Source organism: Homo sapiens, chromosome X, assembly GCF_000001405.40.
Source record: "Homo sapiens chromosome X, GRCh38.p14 Primary Assembly".
Classification (NCBI taxonomy): Eukaryota; Metazoa; Chordata; class Mammalia; order Primates; family Hominidae; genus Homo; species Homo sapiens.
In genome coordinates, this window is record NC_000023.11 from 7,195,509 (window position 1) to 7,216,031 (window position 20,523).

The 20,523-nt window shown below is 39.0% G+C and overlaps 1 protein-coding gene across 3 annotated transcripts in view, besides 1 other annotated feature; it reads left to right on the forward strand.

Moving 5' to 3' along the window:
* STS (steroid sulfatase) overlaps nucleotides 1-20,523 on the forward strand; it is a 207,352-nt gene that overhangs the window by 48,219 nt on the left and 138,610 nt on the right. The window lies entirely within an intron of this gene.
* Nucleotides 3,121-3,170: an enhancer, noted in NCBI's record as "active region_29390". NCBI's record gives its function as "activates an Ori minimal core promoter by ATAC-STARR-seq in GM12878 lymphoblastoid cells {active_cell/tissue: GM12878}" and the evidence as "EXISTENCE:reporter gene assay evidence [ECO:0000049][PMID:35858748]".

Here is a 20,523-nt window from a genome sequence, read left to right on the forward strand (position 1 = left end):
TTGAGAATAACTTTGTTCTATGTTTTAAAACATAGTGTATAGAAGTGCCTAAGGAAGAAAACATTGCATTTATAAGAAGACGTCTTACAAACACTCCAGCCAAACACTTAATTTGCTATCTTTACATCCACTCTAGTGAAAGCACTTAGAATGTTTGACTTTATGTTCAGTGCTTGGCAAACTGCTCCTGTTGGAACCCTCAGGGTTCCTCAGGCTGCTCCTGGGAGCTTCTTCAGCCCTGCGGTGGGAATTGTCAGAGATTTAATTCCACCCACTTCTGTAAGAACAGCACTGATTTTCATCTCTATTAGACATTCTTATGGATAGAAGTTTCTGTGACTAAAAACAATGACAACCATTACTTTCTCTACCTGTTCTGTTTTATAACAGAAGGCAACACTGAAGCTGAAAGATATTAAGCTGTTTATGTAAAGACTAGATAAGGTCTGTGGATACCCTCTCCTGCATCTTAGCCGTGATTTCTTTAGCTGAATTATTGCATAGGGAAGGAAAAAGTAATTTTTCCTCTACCCTGTCTGAGTTCTTATCTAGGACAGACCCTTGTAACAAAAGGCAGATAAACAAGAGAAAACAAATAGTTTATTAACATGGATACCTCCTGTGTATCTGGGCAATATCCAAGGAATATTGAGTAAATCTCAAAGAAGTGAAAGAGAGAAAGGTGTGGGAAGGGACAGTTATGGAGAAGTAACCAGGAAAAGTATGGTAAACCAGGGTAAGGTTGGCTGTGCACATTTCAGTTGGTGCCTTCTCCAACCTTAAGAGTGTTTAATCATTCAGCCTTCCTTCTCTTCCAGTACCATGAAGGAGAAACCCTTACAAATGGAGATTTCCTTTACAGATGTAAATCTCTCTTAGAAAACAGTAACTTCTACTCTGTTTTAAGAGCTTCTCCTGTGTCTGCAATTACTCAAAATAATTCTTACGCCAAAGAAGCACATTGTGGGGTGACGTATTCTTGTCCTTTCTTACTGTACTGATGTAAAAAAAAAAAGTGATATATGCATATGTGTGTATACACCTCTCTCTCCACTGTCTTCTACACTTTCTAGCCATGGGATCCACACCACCACCACTACAACTATCAGTGACCACCACAACAAAGAGATGGACGGATTTTAGTGGAATAAATTATTTTCAGACTCAAAGATCTTTAATGCAAACAATCTGAGCTGTCTTTCATTTGTTTCTTAGCTGTCTCTTCACGTGTACCTGTCTCTCTATCTGTATTTTGGACACCTTGGGCTGAGTCATCTTCATGTCTTAGGTATGCAACTCTCTGGTCTCCTGGTAGTCTGCCTGTATCCATCAAGGTCTCCCTCTCACCACCAGCAGCCAGAGGCACCTTCTCAAAACCCAGGCCTAACCCTGCCACTGGCCCTGTTGGAATCCTTCAATGGCTTCCCGTTGGAAGGAAGGTGGAATTTCAGAACCAGGCCTGGATGGGTCTCCATTGTCTGCCTCCTACCTTTCTTCCTACTCTCAGGTCCTCCCTGCATCTGCCTCCCCCTGGCTTTCTTTTACCCCATCAGGCAACTTGTCTTAAAACCTGTCCTACTACCCAGGCTGTCTTCCCCTCAGGGCCATCTCCCCAGCCAACTCCTCCTTCCAGTAGGCTTCCTTCCTCTCTTTGGCTAAGTAATGACCACTCCGTGCTCCAGGCACTCTTGTTGCATTTGCAGTTTCATACTATTTCTTGTGTGATTATTTGTCCAATATTGATTATTTGAATAAGATCTGACTTTGCAAACACATTGCAAAGTTCTATGAAGGCAAGACCATGCAGTGCATCCTACTGTTACAGGAAAGGGGTCCCGAGCCAGACCCCAAGACAGGGTTCCTGGATCTTGTGCAAGAAGGAATTCAGGGGGAGTCCACAGTACAAAGTTTATTAAGAAAGTAAAGTGGTGAAAGTACAGCTACTCCATAGACAGAGTAGGGCGTTCCCGAAGCTAAGAGGAGGAATGTGTCCACTCTAGGTACAGTACTTGTTTACATATAGGATAAAAAAAGATCATGGGGTGATGTGCTCTGCTACAAGTGTTTGTGATAAAGGATTAATTTTCTTAATTGCTATATTTTACAAGAATCGATATTATTATATTTAAAGCAAAATTAGGAATGCCTCTGTTCTCAAGATATCAGGGTGTTAGGACACTCCCAGTTCTGGGTCTGTTTACTAAACATTATCAATCTGTTCCCTTAACCGTAAACATCTAGAGGCTAGGAACACCTAACTTTCTGGGAGTGCAGCCCAGCAAGTTCCAGCCTCATTTTCCTAGCCCTCACTCAAGATTGAGTCGCTCTGGTTCAAACCCCTCTAACACTACTGTATCCCTACGATGCACAGCGTGCCTTAGTAGATGTTTAGTAAATAACTGCTAAATACATGGATGAAAAAAATAGTTCCAATGCCATATTAATACAATACTGATAAAAATTATATATTTTTGGATTTCAGTCACACAGGCAAAAAACAACTTTCTGATATGATTTAGCCAATAACTGACACCAATATAAAAAATGATCTGTAACCCCCCCAATGGATTATCTTTGCCCAGGTAGAGCTTGTTTATCAAGACAGAAATAGAGAAAGAATTGAATGCACACAGAGCCAGTTAAATGGGAGACCAGAGTTTTATTACCCAAATCACGCTCTCTGTGCATTTGGAGACTGAGTTTTTTTTAAGGGAGGTAGGGGGTTAGGAAGTGAGGAATGCTGATTGGTCAGATTGGAGATGAAATAATAGGGGCCCAAAGTGGGTTCTTCTTGCTGTCTTCTGTGCCTGGGTGAGATTGCAGAACTGATTGAGGCAGATTCCTGGTCTGCATGGCACCAGTTGGTAGATCAGATCACAGGGTCTAAAAAACATCTTCAACTCCAATCTTAGGCATTCCAATAGTGACGGTATCCCTAGGACCAACTGGGGAGGTTGAGAATCTTGTGGCCTCTGACTGCAGGACTTCTGAGCCATACTTTCTAAACTTGTGGCGAATTTGTTGTCCTACAGAGGTGGTGTGTCCCCAGGCAAAAATGGGATTTTTTTCCGGAAAAGGCTGTTACCATTTTTGTTTCCATGTTAACACTGTAAATTCCTCCTGTAGTTAGCTCAGTCTGTGTTCAGGAATGAACGAGGGCAGTCTGCAGGTTAAAGGCAAGATGTAGTTGGTTAGGTCACATCTCTTTCACTGTCGTAATTTTCTCACTGCTTTTGCAAAGGCAGTTTCAGATCTTTAACCCTGTCTGGGGTTTCACAAACTTTAGCCTTGTTCTGTTGAGTTTATATCCTCAAATAGGGTGAAGCCTAATACCTGTTAAAAGATTTTATCCAGTGAACCTACCCAAGATTCCAGAGGAAAGCAAAAACGTCTGCTGCCTGGCAGCAAGTTTTTTTTTTTTTCTTTATAGAGTTTTAAACTAAGGTCCATGAATTTCCTGCCATATTTTCCTGTGTGTGCTTCAGCTGCCTTACTGACAATCACTTAATAAGTATAGCAGTTCCTTAGTTTATACTGCATGTGAGATAGCTGGCTTATGAGAATAATTTTTCTATATAAAATTCATATTTAATCCTCCATTTTAGGAGTGAGTTCTATAGAAAGTTCTATGGAAATTCTCTATTTTAGGAGCGAGCCTGCAATACAGTTTTCAAATACAATATTATGATATTTGAAGTCAATCAGGAAGTGATCCATCTATACTACAACTTCTCATCATGTTTCAATATAAAATGTTGGAAGAGTAATGAAGTGTCCAAAATTAGATTGATTTTATAATTTAGGGTCACAGCCTTCTAATTTTACAATAATAATCAGTTGACAAAGAATGGTTAGTATAATACTTGTGTTAATCGATCCTACTTTCTATCTCTATTTTATTAAAATCAACTCTGAATGTTATAGCATAGTAGAAATTTACCACTTATTATAATAAATCGTGTTTTCACAGTTTCCTCTTCTCTTAACTTAAAACTTAGGTTCTTGCTTAGACTTCTAAATTTTTATGACTGTTTTAGTTTCTGGGAGTCCTTAGGGTTTTTGCAGTTTCTTTCCAGAGCCTGAGGGGCTTTGCTGTATGTTTGTGTGATATTTCACACCTGATGAATGGAGAGCCAGTTGATATTAGTCATCTGTCAACTTTATTTATTTCAAGATTCCAGTATTCAGAGTGGGGGTTGATTAAGTACATAGCCAATATAATATACATTTACAATAATGAATCAGATGTCATTTCCTTGCTTAGTTACTTATGTTCTTTGCTTTTTAAAATAAGGCCCAGACCAGTTATTCTGAGATCCAAACTTTGACTCTTATATAAATTTAAGGACATTTTTCTTTGCTAGAAATAAAAAAAAAAATAAATTACCTAATAAAACCCTTAGCTTTGGAGACATTACCATACAAATGTAAAAGATAAGTATGTGAAGCACATTTAATAACACTGAACCTAATAATGATAACTCAAACTCATTTTGATTTCCTACCTACAAACCACACATTTGAAGTATTAGAAAACTTTGTGAGCTTTCTTTTTTTTTTTTTTAATAATACTGTTGTGTACTTTATTTCAAATATTATCCTAGGTCCTCTTGTATGAGAATATCTAGAATCAGTTTAGTCTTTAATTCCTAGTTTTCTTCTTAGTCCTTTGAAAATATTATTTAAGTAATATTTTTTGTTTTTTACTGCTAACTCCCCAAATTTGTTATAAGGAATATTTTTGTTATTTTCTTCTTTCATCGCATGGGGGAAGATTCAATAACTATGATGTAATTCCTTTAAGAAAATTTTTGTCAGACATGTCGGAAATTTTGAAATCCCGTATATTAACTCTAGACTCTCAAATTTCAAATCATATTATGACGTCTCTGATGGAAAAACATGCTTCAGCTTTCTCTGCCTCTGACATGTAATTGATAACCTCATGTTCTCATTTTGGGAGATAGAACTAGTGAAATGGGACCAAGCAAATGCTAAAAACAATAAAATGAGCTCTCTTGCTGTCTTTGGATGTTTCTTGGACCAAGCATGAAAAAGATGGATGAAACGGAAAGGGAGGAGGGGAGATGATTTTTCGTTTGTGTGTTCAGTGACGGGAAGGAGATGCCAAGGACAAAAATGGATGCCCCAGTGCCACAGTGAACATATTTCCTTAGCTCTGAGTTTGGTAGTGGGGGCTTCTGTGGATTCACACCAAGAACCGCAGTCCAAGCATATTTTGTAGTCTCATCTGACACATTTCTCTAAAGCTTAGCCCTTCTTAAACTCTCATGTTTCAACCACTTTGCCCCCTTTCCCCTGTTCACCTGCAAGCCACACATGACCCTCAGCACATATGACAAGAGCTGTCTTTCCACATGCAGTTTGCTTTGCCACCCACAGTTTAAATGAAGCTATATATAAAACCATAAACTGGTTAGATGGGTGGATGGATGGATGGATGGATGGATGGATGGATGATAGACAGATACGTAGATAAATGATAGATCGATGGATGATAGATAGGCAGGCAGCTATATAGATAGATGATGGATGCATGGATAGGTAGATGGATGGATAAATAGATGGCTACATGGATGATAGACAGATATATAGATAGATGATGGATGATAGGCAGACAGATATGTAGATAGATGATAGATAGGTGGATGGATGGACAGATAAATAGATGGATATATAGATATATAGATATCTAGATTGATATATAGGTTGATGTCAGATAGATGGATGGATAGATAGATAGCAGTTTCCATTTCTGTACTTTTATGGTTTTCATGTTGAGAATGTTCTCAAAGGGACATGTTTGTGGTTAAATTTTCTGAATCAACAACAAATATCACTCCTTCAAGATTGCTCTCTCAGCATAAAAACCTAAACCAATTTTGTGTTTTTATAGCCTCTCTTTTCTCACACACATACTTAACTTTTTAATTTTTTTTTGGCCAGAGTTGTGGCTTTATGAATCATTATTAGAATCATTATTATTATAGAGAAGGGTCAGCAGGCCCTCCACCTAGTGAATGAAATTTCATTTCCATCCTGTCTCCTTTCTGCTTGTGCTGTGGGAGGTATGTTCTTTCATCACATCCATTTCACTCTTCAAAGGCATTCTTCTCAACAGTAATCCACTCGCAAGTTGTTATTGCTTCATGGTTTGTGTAGATGTGGGAGATCCGCTGTGCTTTAGGGAACTGCGCCAGAGATTTCATGCGTTTGTCTTTGAACACTGATCTAGAGACTTTCAGCTATTTGGGCTTCAGGGATACAAGAACAGAGAAGCCTTTAGAGAGTCCAGATCTGAGCCCTCCTCAGAAGAAGGAATTGTCTATGTTTGTTGCTAGGATGGACCCCTGACAACATGGCCACCTGTTCTGTTTTCTAATCCACGATGCTCATAATGGTTAATTTTAGGTGTCAGCTTGACTGGATTAAGGAATACCTAGAGAGCTGCTGAAGCATTACTTTTGGATGTGTCTGTGAGTGTGTTTCCAGAGGAGACTGGTGTGGCCAGCTACAGAAATGAGGACTGTCATTGTCACGAGTATTTTCTCCCCATTTTGTTAAGAATACATCTGTGTGTATATATAAATATATTTAGTATCAAGATAAAACATAAATACATGTATTTAGCAAATATCTTTGTTTTCATTCCTCTCTTATTCCTTTATTATATAACATAAGGTATATTGACTTTATATCAGTATATGATATGATGGTTTGTGTTTTCCTGTTGAGAGCGTTCTTGGAGTATCTTTGTTATTGACTCAGAAATTTTGACCACAAACATGTTTGTTTGAGAACATTCTCAACATGGAAACCACAAAAATGCATATAATATATAAACCACTCTATTGACTACCTCTCTATCAGTATTTAAGTATTATTAATTTTACCTCATGGTATTTAAGTGATGGGATGTCAGGAGAAGAGTCAACATCACCCAAGGACTTGACCTCCTCTTCCGGGGAAGGGGATTACTGCATTTTCAGCTGTGTGCAGAATGGTTACATCACGTTAGGTGGAACTGTTGTAATTTTCTTATCTTCATTTAGAAATTAAGTATGGTTTAAGGAGATGCTTATGGGTGCCAAGTTGATGATGGGTGGATTTGTGATGGTTGATTTTAGGTGTCAAATTGACTGGATTAAGGGATACTTAGAGAACTGGTAACATGTTCATTACTTCTGGGTGTGTCTGTGAGGGTGTTTCCAGAGGGCATTGGCATGGGAGTTGGTGGACTAAGTGAGGAAGATCCACCATCAATGTGGACTGGCAACATCCAATCAGCTGGGGGCCCAGATAGAACACAAAGCAGAGAAAAGAGTTCCCTCTCTCTCTTTATCTCTCTGTCTCTCTCCCTCTCTATCTCTATCTCTGTGTGTCTCTCTGTGTCTATCTCTCTCTATCCATCTCTGTCTCTCGCTCTCTATCCACGTCCCTGTCTCTCTGTGTCTCTCTCCCTCTCTTCATCTCTCTCTTTCTTTCCCTGGTTTTGTCTCTGTCTCTCCCTCCTTGCCTGTGTCTCTGTTTCTCCCTGTCCCTCTCTTTCTCTCTCTTCAAGCTGAGACACTCTTCATCTCTAGCCCTAGAATATTAGAGCTCCAGGCTCTCCCACCCTTGGACTCCGGGATCTATGCTACCCACGCCACAAGTTCTTAGGCCTTTGGCCTCAGGCTGAGAATTACTATACTTAGAACATTCTTCCATGGGGCAAAAAACTCTAAAGATTAGAAATCTGTATTAGTTCATTTCTCTGCAACAGGTATTTATTAGACACTTACCATGTGCTTAAAAAATAGGAACTAAACAAATTTCTCTAAAAAAAGGAACCTTGTTAGTTTTTTCTGATTATGTGACAAGGGACAGCTGCACAGGGATCAGAGCTCATTAAGCTGAAGTTCTCTAAATTAGGGTCTCTTTAGGCCAATTGTAAGCCCAAGTTCATTTTCTTTTTATTCCCACTAGTAAAAACTATCACATTTGAGGAGCATTGTGAATTTATGACACTTTCTCCATCAGTAGGAATACACTATGATTAAATTGTACTTTGTAAACTGTTTTTTTCTGTTTATAAAAGTAAGTAGAACATTTTATATATACAAGAATTTATAAAGAATCATATAAAACCACTGGTAGTTCTGCTCCCTGCAAACTAATCCCAAATAAAATTATATCATCATTCTTTCCAGTTATGTGTATGCCTTTCTATACAAACATATGCATATGAAACATACATATCCATATGCAAATATATATATATATAGAGAGAGAGAGAGACAGGGTCCTGCTCTGCTGCCCAGGGTGGAATACGATGGCACAGTCATAGCTCATTGTAGCCTCAAACTTCTGGGCTCAAGCAATTCTCCTGTCTCAGCTTCCCAAGTAGGTGGGACTACAGGCGTGTTCTACCACGCCCAGATAATTTTTAACTTTTTTGTAGAGATGGGGTCTTGCCATCTTGCGCAGGCTGCTCTCAAACTTCCGTCCTCAAGTGATCCTCCCACACTTGGCCTCCCAAAGTGCTGGGATTACAGGCATGAGCCACTGCACCTGGACAGATTGTTTTTCACATTTGTGCTGATGTTGCCTTTATATCATGTTTGGTTCTGCCTTTTACACCCTAAAATTATACCATAAGGTTTTATATATGAAAAAATATTCTTCAAAAATCGAGAATATTCTAGTGTTTAATTTATTTTTTCTTCAAGTCTCCTACTTCTTAATTTTCTAACCCAAGTGTTGGCATGCCATAATATTTGCCAAATCAGTAGGTTAAAAATAGCATTTTCCTTGTGTTTAAACTTTAATTTTCTTTGATTTCCTGGTGAGGTTGAACATTTTCCATATTTGTATTAATTTACAATTGTTTTCTCATTCATCATTTGTCTTTTGCCATTTTAAAAAATATTAGATGTTGATTATTTTCTCTGTTGATTCCCCTTCTTTCCTTCCTCCCTCCCTTCCTTCCTCCCTCCCTCCTTTCCTCCCTTCCTCCCTCCCTCCCTCCCTCCTTTCCTCCCTTCCTTCCCTTCCTTTTCTTCCTTTCCTTCCTTTCCTCCTTTCTCTCCATCTTCTTTCTTCCTTCCCTTCCTTCTTCCCTCCCTCTCTTCCTTTTTTCTCTCTCCTGCCTTCCTCCTTCCTTTTTTCCTCCTCACCTTTTCTCTCTCTCCTTCTTTCATTCCTTCATTTTTCCTTCCTTCCTTCCCTTCTTTCTTCCTTTCTTCCCTCTCTCTCCCTCCTTTCTCCCTCTTTCCTCCTAACTTCCTCTCTCCCTGCCTTCCTTTCTTTCCATCCCTTCTTCCCTCCTCCCCTCCTTCCTTCCTCTTTGCTTGCCTCCCTTTTTTTCCTTCCTTTCCCTTATTCCTCCCTCCTTCGCTCTCTCTCTTGCTCCCTAATCAGTTACTTATGATATCCTTCTCCACTCTGAGACCATGGATAGTCATGATTGTTTTGCTGACCTGCTTTGTGGCCCCACATGGCCCTAGGCCAGGTGCTTCTGTTGCCTGTTGTTGTACACACACTGGTGGGCTTGGGCATGTGTGGTACCCAGACTCCATGGACAACGGAAGAAGAAATATAAGATTTGGAGTTGTTAGTAAAATAGACTTTTGGGCAATTGCACAATCATCCATGCTAGCACAGGAAAGCTCTTAGCAGGTGTTTCTCCTTCCAGTTTACTTTGAAAGAAGAGGGGCTTTCCCTGCCTACACACCAACATCCTGGTTTCATAGTGAGGAAGAGAAAGAATGGGAATGTAATTATTGCAATTATTATTCATCACGTTTTGTTGTTCCCCCCAAGCTAAAAGTGACAACTCTATGCTGTGGTTCTTTGGGGATATTACATGTGAGAGTGCAACCACAGAAAATCACATCAATTAGGCATGAAGGCTTTCTCCCCATACTGACTAGCAGCTTGCTTGGGAGCAGAGACCTTCAGCTTGAGGAGCAAATAGTGGGCACTCAGTGTATTCACTGACTTTATTCAGGGGCCAATGCAACTGTGTCTGGAGGGGTTGGCTGGTATAAAACTGTAGGTTGGAAATTATTTGGTTTTCTTTTTCTTTTTCTTTTTCTTTTCTTTTCTTTCGTTTTCTTTTCTTTTCTTTTTTCTTTTTTTTTTTTTTTGAGACAGTTTCTTGCTCTGTTGCAAGAGCAAGGCACTCCTGGCTGGAGTGCAGTGATGCGATCATAGCAATCTCTTCCTCCTGGGCTCAAGTGGTCCTCTCACACACCACCACCATACCTGGCTAATTAAAAAACAAATTGTAGAGACAAGGTCTCGCTATATTGCCCAGTCTGGTCTGGAGCTCCCAGGCTCAAGCAATCTTCCTGCCTCAGCCTCACAACATGCTGGGATTACAGGTGTGAGCCACCACTCTCGGTGGAAATCATTTTTCCTCTGGATTTCACAGTCATTGCATAATTGTCTTGTACCACTCAGGGTAAAGGCCAAAGCCGTGATTTGATTGTATGTAACCCATCCACCCACTGCACCCCCTATGCACTTAGGATTTTGTCTTGGTCCTCTGTATCCTAAGGTTCCATGAAAATGGGCTTTGCTCTGGGTTTATATTCCTTCATCGTTTTGGGCCCCCAGGCCTGTTCAATACTGAGATTCATGCCCTTCAGTTCTAAAACTATATTTTGTTTTATTGCTTTGGTAATCTCTTGCTCTCTCTCAGTCTCTTCCTCTGGAATATCTATTAGCTGAAGATTGGGACCTGGTTATGATATCCTAATTTTCATGTCTTTTCTCTCCTGTTATCAATCACCTTGGCTTTTTGTTCCAGTTCTCTTTGAGATGTCCTCACCTTGATCTTCGCAGCATTCTGCTGAATTACTTCATTTATCATGTTCCGCATGCCCAAAAGTTCTATTTTGTTCTCTAAATGTACTTTTCTCATACCATCCTTTTATTATTTATTTACTTATTGATCAATCTTTTCTTTTCTTTTTTTGGTTCTTTGATCGCTGTCCATATATGACCAGCCATATGACATTGCTGATAGTTAACCATACTTTATCTGCAAAAATGGCTATTTCAAATGATTCATCCTATTTGATAAAGAGATGTTATCTCACTTATCAATAATGAAAACCCTTCTTTTTCATTCCAAACCAACATAGAGCTGTGTGATCCAAGGGCCTTAAATAAGAGGCATGCAGGTATCTGTATGCATAAAATTTAAATCTTAATTTAAGGAAGTACTAACCTGAAAGCTATGCTGAAGGATTTTTGTTGTGAATTTGATTATTATTAGATACATCATCTCGATCCAATGGTCATCAGAGGGAAAAAACAGTTACTTAGTTTTGGTTTGGCAGACACAATTGATATTCTTTTTCTGTACTCCATTTTAATAGCTTAAAGTTTTCATTAAAAATTACACCTTGGGCTTGGGGGGCAATGGCTCATGCCTACAATTCCAGCACTTTGGGAGGCCAAGGAGGGTGGATTGCTTGAGCCCATGAGTTGGAGACCAGCCTAGGGAACATGGTGAAACTCCATCTCTACTAAAAATAAAAAAGTCACTTGTCATCTCAATTACTCAGGAGGCTGAGGTGGGAGGATCCCTCAAGCCTGGGAGGAGGGGGTTCCAGTGAGCTGAGATTGTACCACTGCACTTCAGCCTGGGCAACTGAGTGGCACCCTGTCTTTAAAAAAAAAAATTACACTTATTCTCTCATGCAAAGGAAACACATTTTAAAGAGTTGCTGATTGATTTTTCTGCATTGCCCAGGAGTTGCATTTTTATTCAAGAAGTAACAACTAGCACCCTGTCCTCAAATCTCTTTTGCATTGCCGACATGAATTTGTTGGCATTGTCTTCAAGCATTTCCAGGATATGTGCAAGTTACAGGGATTTAGATTGTACCTGGAAGTACAGGATTGGAGAATGGTGGTTAAGCTTTAACAATTCAGTCAAGAAATTCTTTGTTATGAACACTTTTAGGCAGGGAGGAAGTTTAGAGTTTTCCATATTGATTGGATTTATACATATTAATTTTTTTCTAAATGATGTCATAAAAGGGTCTTTTAGGTAATGATGAAATAACCAAGTCCCAGTAGGAAGGTTTCACCATATAGTACAATGTAATGATAGGGAAATTCAGAGTTCAAAGTATTTTAATGTCATAAACCAATTTTGAGCTTTAATGGAAGAAGGATCATTATGCACAAATGAAATTGCATATATATTTTGTTATGTTTTTGTAAAATCATTCATAATTATAAACTGGTCAGGAACTTCACAAGTAACTGAAGAATTATACTATAACTTGACAGAAAGAATCGGCTATTCGATAGCAGGCTCAGGGGTACACATACCTTTTTAATATCATGACTTGTCCACAAATTGATGTGTGAAACAATTTTCCCTGTTGTACTCTGCTTTAGGAGATGAGATGATTGTAGGGGGCAAAAGAATGGTTTCCCAGCCTCCTGGTTTGCAGGACAGCAGAAAAAACAGCCATTCAGTTGGATGTTATTGGAATCAACAACAAAGAGACTGAAATGCTCATTTATCTATTACGGTAAAATCCAACATTTGCTTCACATACGGTGATACAAAGCAATAGCATTTGCCGTGGTATTTGAAATACAGTAAAAATATGAGTTAACAAAACTTGGGCATTAAGCTATTTCTCTCCAAGAGATAATGAGTGTTTCTTATTCTTCAACCCTTTATACTTTATTTTTTAAAAGTGTCTTTGTTTTTAAAGAAAAGAGATATGCTTATTGTAAAAAAATCCAAAAATCAGAAAAGCATAGAAAAGAAGCATATGATAGTCTATACTCACCATGGAAACAGTTTACAGATATAATTCCAGAATTTTCTATGTGTAATATATAGAAATGGCAGGTTACTATTCATTCCACTTTATAATTTTCTTTAAATATTTTGTGTTGATATAATTATAGACTCACAAGTAGTTATGAAAAAATGGTACAGAGGAGTCTCTCCTACCCTTTACCCTGTCTTCTCCAGTGATAACAAAAACTGCTGTTTTTCAGCAGATCTTTTTTCTTGTATTTCTAGACTTGGAAACTCCTCAGTAGATTCAAATAATTTCTGTCTCCACCTCCCTTCTTCCTCTCTCCCTTTCTTCTTTCTTTCCTACCTTCCTTCCTCCTTCCTTATATTTTTCCTTTCCTTTCTGTAATTTCCAAACACTGCTATAACACGTTATAGTGAACTGAGTGGGTTAAAACTATGTAAAACAATATAACCTTACAGTTCGGGAAGTCTTAAGCACAAAGTGGGTTTCACTGTCCTAAAATCATGGTGTGGGCAGGGCTGCTTTCTTTTCTGGAGGCTCTAGGGGTTGAATTCCTCTTCTTGCCTTCTCTGGCTTCTAGAGGGCACCTACCTTCCGGGCTGCTGGGCCCTTCCTCCATCTTCAAGGCTGGCAGCATAGTGTCTTCCAGTCTCTCCCCACCTCCTTCTTAGAGGGGCCTTTGTGATGACAGTGGGCCCACCTGGCTAATCCAGGAAGTTCTTCCCATCTCAAGATCCTTCATGGCACTTGCCAAGTGCCCTTTGCCATGTAAGGTAAAGTGTGAGGTGCCAGGGATCAGGCTGTGGGCGCCTCGGGCCTGACCATTACTTAGCCCACAACACGTCCCTTTCTTCTTTCTGTTTTGGGACTGGACCATCCAGCCAATAGATTCTGGGCCTTTTTTACATGTAGGGGTGGTGCCAGATCTTCCATAGCAGGTAACATTAAGTTGTAGTTCAATCAATATTTGTAGATGGAATTAAAAACTGAATTGCAATACAAAGATTAATACCACAGATTTTAAAAAATATTTATTTTCATATTATGTATTTTATATATAATTTTATATATAAATGCATATATATGTATTTATAGAAATATATATTTTTATACTTACTATTATATAGTATAAATGTTTTATTTTAAATAAATATTTATTTAAATATTAATATATTTAGTTAAAATATATGATTAAAAATGAAAAAAATTATTTTTAATATAATTTAAAAATGAATTCGAATAGATGAATACCACAGATTTAAAAAAATATTTATTTTCATATTATTTATTTTATATATTTTATTTTTATTTTTATTTTTATTTTTATTTTTAAATTTTTTTCTTTTGTATTCCTTCTAAAAAAAACTGGGATACATGTGCAGAACGTGCAGGTTAGTTACATAGGATACATGTGCCATGGTGGTTTGCTGCACCTATTGACCCATCCTCTAAGTTTCTTCCCGTCACCCCCACCCCCAAATAGGCCCTGGTGTGTGTTGTTCCCCTCTCTGTGTCCATGTGTTCTCAATGTTCAACTCCCACTTATGAGTGAGAACATGCGGTGTTTGGTTTTCTGTTCCTGTGTTAGTTTGCTGAGGATGACGGCTTCCAGCTTCACCTGTGTCCCTGCAAAGGACATGATCTTATTCCTTTTTATGGCTGTGTAGTATTCCATGATGTATATGTACCACTTTTCTTTATCCAGTCTATCATTGATGGGCATTTGGGTTGGTTCCATGTCTTTGTTATTGTAAATAGTGTTGCAGTAAACATACATGTGCATGTGTCTTTATAGTAGAGTGATTTATATTCCTTTGGGTATATACCCAGTAATGGGATTACTGGGTCAAATCGCATTTCTGGTTCTAGATCCTTGAGGAATCACCACACTGTTTTCCACAATGGTTGAACTAATTTACGTTCCCACCAACAGTGTAAAAGTGTTCCTATTTCCCCACAGCCTCACCAGCATCTGTTGTTTCCTGACTTTTTAACAATCGCCATTCCGACTGGTGTGAGATGGTATCTCATTGTGGTTTTGATTTGCATTTTTCTGATGATCAGAGAATATGCATTTACTTATATATATCTATACACACACACGTATTCATAGAAATATAAAATATTTATATATTTATACAATTATACAATATAAATGTTTTATTTTAAATAAATTTTTAAATATTAAATATATATTTATAAAAAATAGATGTATGTATAATAAATAATAAACACTTAATACATATTAAATATATAAATTGATGTATTTATATTTATACATAAATGAATAAATATTTTTATATTAAATGTATAATTATAAATAAATCAATGTATATATAAATGTATATTTAATATATACTAGGTGTTATATGTTGAAATATATATTAAATCTATAAATAATATTCCTTTTAATACTTTATAATATTTTAATAATAACTTTTTAGGTAAAATATGCAAATAAATTTCTAAACCAAATATCCCAGCCTGAGATCTCTAGCTTTGGATAGAAAAGCATTTACTTTTTAGCAAAATTAATTTTTTTAAGTGAAAAATTAAAATTATGTATATTTAGGGTATACAACATGACATTTTGTTTTTTATATATATATGTATGTATGTACATTATGGAATGGCTAAATGAAGCTACTTAGCATGTGCATTACCTGACATACTTTGTGGGGAGAACACTTATAATCTACTGTTTTGTAATTTTCAAATATCCAATGTGTTGTTATTCACTACACATGAATGTTGTAGTCACCATGTTGTAGGAAAGATCTCTGGAACTCTTGCTCCTAAGTGAAACTTTGTATCCTTAGACCAACATCTCCCCAATGAAAAACACTTACTTTAATATTCACTCCACTGTATTCATTTTCTATTGCTCCATAGCACACAGTGGCTGGCAACAACACCTGTGTATCTTCTCTTTGGGCTCAGGAGTCCAAGCAAGGACAGACTTTACCCTGCTCAGGGGATCGCCAGGATGAAATCAGGGTGCCAGCTACGTTGTGTTCTCCCCTGAGCCTCCCGGTGCTATTCCAAATTCAGTGCATGTTGGTAGAACTCAGTTCCTTGAGGTTCTGGGACTGAGGTCCCCATTTTCTTACTGCTGGAAGTCCTGGGCCACTAGTAATTTCTAGGTCTGTGGACCCCACAGGAAGTTCACATCATCACCGTCAGCTTCTTTGTGGGCACCAGTTGGTGTCCAGCATCTCTGTCCGACTTCTGGCCATCTTAGAATTCTGCCTACTACTCCCACGAATTTTTCTGGGTTGGCTTGGCCTTGCCCCTTGTAGAAAGTTGCTCTGCAGGGAAACCACTCTCTTTGTTTTTCCAACCAGTATTTCTCATGTTCCACAATGTGAGTATATCTGTGAGATGCTCCAGTTTCCTGGGACACCTATCATTTTGCTAAGATTTCCAACAGGCATCAAAGTCTCTACTGGTGGGCTTTGAGGAGAAGGCTGACCTGTTCTTATGCCCCAGAGGCACTGCCTATCTTTCTTTATTTTTTAATCTCAGGGCCAGAGTCATCCCTGCCCTGCCCAAAATGGGAATAGGACATCTCTTCATAGAGATCAGAGCTACATATAAAAGCCAAACTGGGACTGAATCTAAACATCTGCATTTCCTTCCTCCTCCCCTTCCTTTCGGGACTTCCTGCTGCAGATCGCGGGAGCAGATACGTGTCAATGTATTCCTTCCCTTTGCAGCCTGTCCATTTGGGCCAGTCAGAATCATTCAGCAATGCATAAGAGAAGAAATATAATATGCGCTGATATCCAGGTGTATGCAAGTGATAATATGGCTAATGGAAGATGTGAATTGAGAAGGGGATGTGGTTATTAATGATTACTTATGAAAGAATTCTGGGCCAAGCACAGTGGCTGATGCCTGTAATCCCAGCACTTTGGGAGGCTGAGGTGGGAGGATGGCTTGAGCTCAGAAGTTTGAGACCAGCCATGGGTAACATGGTGAAACCCCATCTCTACTAAAAAATACAAAAATTAGCCGGGCATCGTGGCACGCACCTGTAATCCCCAGCTACTCTGGAGACTGAGGCACAAGAATTGCTTGAATCCGGGAGGCAGAGGTTGCAGTTAGCTGAGATTTTGCCACTGCACTCCAGCCTGGGAGACACAGTGAGACTCCATCTCAAAAAAGAAAAAAGAGAAAAAAGAAAAAAGAATTCTGTCTCAAGATACTAGGGACGCTAAAAGTTTGCTGTTTATAAAGGGGATTTTATACAATGCGTACCTTTGACTTTGTGCCTTCTTGCCCCAGGAGTTACTCCTTTTAAATAGATAGCTCATCTACAGATCCTGCAGATAATCCTTCTGGTATAACCAGAATACGTAGTTATTTATACATATATGTCCCATAATTTTTTCCTTTCAAGGTAATTGATGAATTATACTAAACAAACAATTTTCTGGCTGACAAGTACTGTACTTTAGTGAATTTGCTTGATTAAATTGTAATAATGAAATTAAATTTTATGCTTGCTGTGTGTCTACAAATGCAGTTCCTGTTGAAAATGAGACAATCTGAAGTGCCTTCTAATGGACATCCCACTTCCTTAATGTTTCTTTTGTATGTGTAAGGGAGAAAGTCTAATGTCTGTTCTTTCCCTCATAGATTCTTAGTTGAGACACTCTCCTGAAAATAAAAGTCAGATTCACAAAAGAAAAACTGTTGAGCCCAGACTGGTCTCAAACTAGCCTCAAGCGATCCTCCTTCCCTGACCTCCCAAAGTACCATGATTACAGGTGTGAGCCACCACCGCCAGCCTAGATTAACAGTCTTTAAAGTAGATATGCTGGGATAGGTGAGAGGAAGTGAAAAGCCAACTGGGACACACAAAAACAGCCAGGAGCAGCCTAGGAGGATGACATATATTCTACCCATCACACAGGAGAGGCCTCAGTTCAAAAATACTTCTCTCTCAAGGCAGTGGCTTAGGGGCCTTGCTCAAATAGGATTTTAACAAAGAGCCATAAATCCTATGTACTGACAAGACACAGAGGAGAACATCTGCAGGCTACCAAAAGGTAAATTTCTGGAAAGAGTAAAATCTGCCTCTAGCTGCTGTAGTGCTGTCTCTGAGCTAATAGGCGAGAGTTGTAAAGGGGACCATCTTTCGGTGGGAAAGGCAGGCAGGAGGGCAGGAAGGTGGCAAAGGCAGACAGGTGGACAGAAGACCTTGTCTTTGTAAATTGCTGTCTTGCTATGAGGAAGGCAGATGGAGGGGCAGTGTGTCCACTGCGTTTTAGGATTCTTCTTTTCAATCAATAATCCTCATTATTTTAAAAAGGGATATTTTGGTTTCCTTCGTGTGTAAAAACTGTATCCATCTCCAAGCTCAGGAAAGGAACAATTTACAGTCACCCTCCCAGGCTGCTCCTGACTGTTTTTGTGTGTCCCAGTTGGCTTTTCACTTCCTCTCACCTATCCCAGCATATCTACTTTAAAGACTGTTAATCTAGGCTGGCGGTGGTGGCTCACACCTGTAATCATGGTACTTTGGGAGGTCAGGGAAGGAGGATCACTTGAGGCTAGTTTGAGACCAGTCTGGGCAACATACTAAGACCCTGTCTCTAGAAAAAAAATATTAAAAAGTTAGCCAGGCATGGTGGTACCTGCGTGTAGTCCCAGCTACTCAGGAGGCTGAGGCGGGAGGATTGCTTGAGTCTGGGATGGGAGGTTGAGGCTGCAGTGAGCTATGATCTCACCACTGTACCCCAGCCTGGGCCACAGAGCAAGACCCTGTCTGAAAACATAAAAATATAAAAGATTGTATTAATTGTCATCATCATTTATATAAAATGCAAAGCATGCCTGATACATGGTAGGAAGACAATAAACACTATTTACATGTTTTTCCCCCTTGAACATGTTCCCTTTTTCTGCTGAGTCACATTATTTTTTGACTGATTGCGGAGGGGGGCCCCCAATGCAAAATTAGTAACTCTGGCAGCTTTCTCTATGTCTTCCTTTTCCTAACTTTTCCATAAAACCATTCCTCCAAAGCCTTCACATGGTCACAGTGGCCTTATTGTCTCTGATTAATCACAGTTGAAACTGGCTATCTAGAAAGAATGACTAGCTGTCTTAATACTCTAATGGAAATCTGAGTCAGTACACTACTCCTGTTTTTTAAAATGTCTTCTCTTCCCTTGTGGAATGAAAGGAATTTACACATTACACATAATGAGAACAAGGTATTTTTATTTATGCTTTTATTTCAATAGGTTTTTGGGAAACAGGTGGTGTTTGGTTACATGAGTCAGTTCTCTGGTGGTGATTTGTGAGATTTTGGTGCACCCATCACACCCGAGCAGTATACACTGAACCCTATTTGTAGTCTTATCACTCACCCCCTTCTCACCCTTTCCCCCTGAGTCCCCAAAGTCCATTGCATCATTCTTATGCCTTTGCATCCTCATAGCTTAGCTCCCACTTATGAGTGAGAACATACAATGTTTGATTTTCCATTTCTGAGTTACTTCACTTAGAATAATAGTCTCCAATCCCATCCAGGTTGCTGTGAATGCCATTAATTCATTCCTTTTTATGGCTGTGTAGTATTCCATCATATATATATATGTGTGTGTGTGTATATATATATACATATATACGTATATATATATTATATATGTATATATACATATATATACGTATATATACATATATACGTATATATATATATTATATATGTATATATATACATATATATACGTATATATGTATATATACACGTATATATGTATACGTATATATGTGTATATATATACACATATATACACACACACACACACACACACATATATATATATATATATACACACCACAGTTTCTTTATCCACTCGTTGATTGATGGGCATTTGGGCTGGTTCCACATTTTTGCAATTGCTAATTGTGTTGCTGTAAACATGAGTGTGCAAGTATCTTTTTTGTATAATGACTTCTTTAGCTCTGGGTAGATACCCAGGAGTGAGAACAAGGTGTTTTGGAGGCAGACAAACCAGGGTTCCATTCAATGCTCCCCCTCTGGTATTCAACTTCTTCAAATCCTGGATAAATGTGGGGACCCTCTAAGCCTCACTTCTTGTGCAATGGGGAGAAAAACATTACCATCTAATATGGGGTGAGAAAGGAGTGATGCAGTTGTGGATTTAGGGCTCCTGATGAATGATACCTCCAGTGGAGACTGGCCTGGATTGGAATCTTTCCTGTTATCCCTGGAACCCCTCTACCTATCCCCACCTGTTCTCTACCCTGGAAGAAGCCCAGGATGAACGGCATCCATAGGCTGTCTTGCCTTTTCTGTTGTCCTGGTTGTTTCTGGCCAAGGAAAGTCAACAAATGAAAGGGAAAGGAGAACAAGGTTGGGGTTTTCATCTCCTCTGTTCCCTCCTGCAGGGTTGCCCAGGATTGCACCCTGCACTCCTCAAAGGTCATCACAAGCTCTGGGATCACTCCTTCGCCTTTGGGCCTGAGTGGTACCAGCCTCAGGGATGAGCCGTCTTCCTCCTCTTCCTGTCCACACTGCTGTTAGCTGTCTTTTCAGTAAATTCTCCTCTCATTGTCCTATATTCCATGTGTCTCTTCTTTTCTGCTGGGACCATGTGACCAATGCTAGGTCCTGCTTGGCACCCCCAGGGAAATGACAGCCTATTCACAGACCACAGGGCTGTCCACAGCAGAGGAACCAGAG